This window comes from Homo sapiens, chromosome 7 (assembly GCF_000001405.40).
Source record: "Homo sapiens chromosome 7, GRCh38.p14 Primary Assembly".
In the NCBI taxonomy this organism is placed as follows: Eukaryota; Metazoa; Chordata; class Mammalia; order Primates; family Hominidae; genus Homo; species Homo sapiens.
In genome coordinates, this window is record NC_000007.14 from 128,703,160 (window position 1) to 128,709,060 (window position 5,901).

The following is a 5,901-nucleotide window of genomic DNA, read 5'->3' on the forward strand; positions in this document are numbered from 1 at the left end:
CAGAAAATGTAAACAACACTATCAAACAACTAGACTTAATTGGCATTTATTGAACATGCTATTCAATAGTAGTACAATGCACTTTCTTTTCAGGTACACATGGAATGTTTATTAAGAGAGACCACATTTTGGGCCATAAAATAAACCTCAACAAATTTCATGCAAAGTGTATAATCAGACCACGACAAAATTAAACTGTAAATAGTAAAAGAAAGATTTCTGGGAAATCCCAAAATATAAACTACACACTTCTACATAACCCATGGATCAAAGAGGACTAAAGGGAAATTTTAAAACAGTTTGCGCCCAGCTGAATGAAAACAAAAATACGGCATATCAAAATGTACAGGGCAGGGCACAGTGGCTCATGCCTATAATCCCAGCGCTTTGGGAGGCCAAGGCAGAAGGATCACTTGAGACCAGCCTGGGCAACATAGAGAGATCCCGTCTCTACAACAAATTTTAAAAATTAGCTGGGCATGGTGGAGCAGCTTATAGTCCTACTGACTCGTGAGGCTGAGGCAGGAGGATCGCTTGAGCAGAGGAGTTCAAGGCTGCAGTGAACTATGATCTTGCCACTGCACTCCAGTGTGGATGACAGAGCGACATCCTGTCTCAAAAAAAAAAAAAGAAAAAGAAAGTGCAGATGCTGCCAAATCAGTGCTTGGCAGATTAGTAAACAATTCAGTGGGGCCAATTAGGGCTTGGGGGAAGATTTCACTACAGAGGAACAGCACGAGAGGTGACTCGACGTTGGAGGATGCATTACCCTGTGCATTTGTTAAAAGGTATGCCACAAAGAGTGAGTTTCACTGTATGCAAAGGAAAAAAATCAACTGAATGTCAGGGGAACCCAGGTTGGAATGCAGACTGTGACAAATGAATCTAACTGTACTGTATTGAAGGGAATGGAGAAGAAAGAGCTCACTCAGTTGCTTTGGGAAACTATACTGATTGGCTAAAGACCAAAAGAAGTGCATAAAAGCTGTGCTTTAGTTCAGTGGTCCCCAACCTTTTTGGCACCAGGAACTGGTTTCTTGGAAGACAGTCTTTCCACAGATGGAGGGTGGGGGGGCGGGGATGATGATGATAGTTTCGGGATGAAACTGTTCCACCTTAGATCATCAGGCATTATTAGTTAGAGTAACCTTTTTTTTTTTTTTGAAACAGAGTCTTGCTCTGTCACCTAGGCTGGAGTGCAGTGGCACCATCTCGGCTCACTGCAACCTCCATCTCCCAGGCTCAAGCAGTTCTCTTGCCTGAGCCTCCCAAGTAGCTGGGATTACAGGCATGTGCCACCACACCTGGCTAATTTTTGTATTTTTAGTACAGACGGGGTTTCACCATGTTGGCCAGGCTGGTCTCAAACTCCTGACTTCAGGTAATCTGTCTACCTCAGCCTCCCAAAGTGCTGGGATTACAGGCATGAGCCACCGCTTCCAGCCTAGAGTCTTACAAGGAGCGTGCAACCTAGATCACTCACATGTGCAGTTCACAATAGGGTTCGCACGCCTATGAGAATCTAACGCCGCCGCTGATCTGACAGGAGGCCGAACTTGGGTGATAATGTAAGCAATGGGCAGAGGCTGTAAATACAGATGAAGCTTCACTCACTGCCGGCCACTCACCTCCTGCTGTGCGACCCGGGTTCCTAACAGTCTGCAGCAGCCTGGGGGCTGGGGACCCCTGCTTTAGTGGGTAAATTTGCTTCTTACACAATATGGGTTAGCAATTCTGAAACTACATTACATTATAATGTTCAGCATATTAGGACTGAACAAATAAGGAACCATCATGAGAGCCAGCTTTCTCACTGTCAGAGGAAGGAGTTCAAAATAGGTCAATGGAATCCTACAATATGGAGCTTTCTGTCTTCTTTCACTTAGCCTTACTCTTGCATGAGTCAACAGTCTGTTCCTTTTTGTTGCTGAATGGTATTCCACTGTGCGGATGTAACGCGGTTTGTTTATCAACTCACCTGCTGAAGGACATCTGGGTCATTTCCAGTTTGGGTGATAAAGCTGCTAGAAACATTTCCCTCATGAACATACATGGAATTTGGTTTCCATGTGTTGTCAGTATGATCCTTCCACCCCATCCCCCAATCGGGAACAGTTTCTTGTCCTTTCCTTGTCTTTCTTGTTCTCAACTGTCTTAGACGGCACAGGCTTTACCTTTTCAGGTGGGTCTGTCTGGTGTTTCATCATGGTCAAACTTGGGTCTTGTTTTCTCGGCAGGAGTGCCCTGGGGATGGAGCCGTGCCGTTCTCACAGCTGCACATCGGGGGACTGATTTTGTTGTCTGCCAGATTTTTCTACCATAACATTATCACTTCCCCTTCTATAATTCAGAAGGTTTTCCAAAAATATATCCCAAGATTGCATTGATACCATTTCTTCATCAAACTTCCTCTACTCACCAGCCTTAGCCTCTATTGAAAACTTCTGCCTGAATCAGCCGCAACACTGATGGCGCCAAATGGTGATTTTTTTGGTGTTTTTTTTTTTTTTTTTTTTTTTTTTTGAGACAGGATCTCACTCTGTCGCCCAGGCTGGGGTGCAATGGCATGATAATAGCTCACTGCAACCTCCACCTCCCGGGCTCAGGTGATCCTCCCACCTCAGCCTCCCAAATAGCTGGGACCACAGGCGCGTGCCACTACGCCCAGCTAATTTTTGTAGAGACAGGGTCTCGCTGTGTTACCCAGGCTGGCCTCAAACTTCATGCTCAAGTGATCCACCCACTTCGGTCTCCCAAAGTGTTGGGATTACAGGTGTGAGCCATGGCGCCCTGCCAAATAGTGATTTTCTGCTTCCATTATCCCTTCTACAATTAAGAGTTGGCATTCTACTATAAGGAAGAGGTTCCTCTCTCTCTCCCTCTCTCTCTCATCAGTATGACTCATAGGTTCCAATTTTATTCAAGAGTTTGTAACTCATTACTGTCATTATCTGCTTTGACATTCAAACAGTCCCAAATTTGGCCTGCAGGAGCACCTCCAGGCTGTCTTCTGCATTCTTTTGACTTGTCTGCATCATTCTTTGAGCACTTCCTTCCTTTCTGGCAAACAAGAGGCCCTACTCTTATCTTGTACTTTTCCTGCCCCAATCTTGGAATCAGCCATTCCTCCAAGAAATCCCGGTTCTTTAGAGTGGAAGATGGTATTTGGAAACCAATCTACATACTTAGCGTGCTTCTTCCTACTGTGGTGTCACTGCTTGTAGGCCCTCTCAATGGACAGATTTAGAAAAACACACACACGCACACACATCCATATATGCACAGACATTTTTATACACTCATGCACCTATAACTATATATCTCCATCTCTCTCTCTCTCTATTTATTTATATATTTTAAACTGAGTTCATTTTGATATCTCCAGTTTCAGTCTACCACCTCAGGGTTCTTTCTAGCCTTCCCAAGCTTGCCATGCTTACAAGGACCTCCTCCCACAGTGAGAAACCTGGCTACCATTATCCTCAGTATGTTTACTTATTTGCTCATGTAACTAGTCTCCCAATCACACTGGCTGACTCCCTCACCCGCCACCGCCCCTACTGAGCAAGCCCTCTGTCTTTGAGAAGTTCTCTGATCTGCCTCATCCTTCATCCCTGGGCATCCTGCGATCCCAGAGCCTGGTGGGCTCACCTCTGTCTCCTTCCCTGCTTGCTGTCACACAGCAGGCAGTAAGGCAGCTCCTCGTGGGACTCTGGGAAATGCAAAGGGCTACAATGGGGTTGGAAGGCTGCAGGTTGTATTATTGACATTCACTCTTCCATAGGCTGAAGATCCTGGGGTGATGAGGACTCAGGGGCCTGTCTGTAGCCTTTGTCAGAGGACATGGGGTATGCTCTCTCCTAAAAGTTTTTTTTTTTAACCATTTTATTGAGGTATGATTGAGATGTAAAAAGCTGTATATATTTAATGTATACAACTTGATGAATGTGGGTTAGGTATATACCTGTGAAGCCAACCTTACTACCATCAAGGCCATAGACATACCCATCACCTCCCGAATTTTCCTTCTGCCCTATTATTATTATTATTGTGTGTATGTATGTGTGTGTGTGTGTGTGTGTGTGTGTGTGAAGAATGTTCAATATAAGATCTACCCTCTTGGGAAATTTTAACTATATAGTACAGCATTGTTAGTGGTAGGCATGATGCCTCATAGTAAATCTCTAGAACTCATTCATCTATCCTACAACTGAAACTTTGTACTCTTTGACCATCATCTCCTCATCTTCACCTCCCTACCCAGCCCCTGGCAATCACTGTTCTACACTCTGCTTCTATGAGTTTGACTAATTTCTTTTCTTTGAGAAAGGGTCTTTCTCTGTCACCCAGGCTGGAGTACAGTGTGGCACCATCATGGCTCACTGCAGCCTCAATCTCCTGGCTTCAAGCAATCCTCCCACCTCAGCCTGGGAACACAGGCCCTGCTAATTTTTATTATTACTATATTTTATTTTTAGAGATGGGGTCTCACTATGTTGCCCAGGCTAGTCTTGAACTCCTGGGTTCAAATGATCCTCCCGCCTTGGCCTCCCAAAGTACTGGGATTACAGATGTGAGCACCCTGCCCGGCCAAATATTTTTGATTCTGTGTATAAGTGACATCATACAGTATTTGTCTTTTTGTGTCTGGTTTATTTCATTAGGTCCATGCATGCTCTTGCCTATGGCAGGATTTCCTTTCTTCCTTTCTTTCTTTTCCTTCCTTCCTTCCTTTCTTGCTTTTTCTTCCTTCCTTCCTTCCTTTCCTTCCTTCCCTTCCCTTCTCCCTTCCTTACTTCCTTCCTCCTTTATTTCTCTCTCTCTCTTTCTCCTTCCTTTCTCTCCTTCTTTTCTTTTGTTTTCTTTTATTTCCCTCTTTCCAGGATCTCTGTGGCCTAGGCAAGAGTGCAATGGTATGTCATGGCTCACTGCAGCCTTGCTTTCCCAGGCTCAAGCGATCCTTTTGCCTCAGCCTCTCAGGTAGCTGGGGCTACAGGCACATGCCACTGCACCTGGACAATTTTTTTTTTTTTTTTTTTTAATTTTTAGTAGAGACAAGTTCTCACTATGTTGCCCAGGCTGATCTCAAACTCCTGAGCTCAAACAGTTCTCCCACCTCGGCCTCTGAAAGTGTTGGGATTATAGGTGTGAGTCATTGCACCGGGCCAATTTCTTTCTTTTTTAAGGCTGAGTGTCTCCTGAAAAATTTTAAAAAGCTCTCTTTTCTATTTGGAGGTGTATCCTATTCTCATGAGGTAATCCTTCGTCAAATCAGCCTGAAGAACTGAACAATGGTGAACCCAGCTGGGCTTTTCTGTCTCTAATGAGACAGTGCTGTGACTGATAGGGGATTTCTGAAGGTTTTTCTTGAATTGTTTTCTTCTACTCTTGAAGGGTTTTCTTGAATTGTTTTCCTGAGCTGATTTCTCACTCCCTCAGACTGCTCTTCTCCAATTTGGGGAGAGGGAGGGAGTAATTTGTGAGAACACGGACAATATTATTAATTAGCATTCTTTATTATCAGGCTATCTCCAGATTTTATGTCTTTTCTACCCTTTGGCCACCTGACTTAACCTCTTTCTTTGTTAGGTTATCAATAGTTAATCTTTTGTTTTTTAAATAAACTACATACTTAATGCGTATGGCAAGGGGAGTCATTCTGTGACATAGCTTCTTCCCACGGGTTGCTAATTGTCCATCAATATCCCTCATCCTTAAATAATAAATAATTCTCCAGTTGTAGGTGGGCTCATGGCCACCCAGTGAAAAGCTACATTTCCCAGCTTCCCTTGTATCTGGGTGTGGCCCTGTGTTTGAATTCCGACCAATGGGATGTGAGCAAAAGTGATTATGCCATTTTCAGGTCATAGCCTTAAAAGGAATGAGTGTGAACTCCCCATT

The 5,901-nt window shown here is 44.1% G+C and overlaps 1 protein-coding gene across 1 annotated transcript in view; it reads left to right on the forward strand.

The window, feature by feature from the left end:
- GARIN1A (golgi associated RAB2 interactor 1A) overlaps window positions 1-5,901 on the forward strand; it is a 37,538-nt gene that overhangs the window by 31,531 nt on the left and 106 nt on the right. The gene's annotated exons all lie outside the window — the stretch shown is intronic.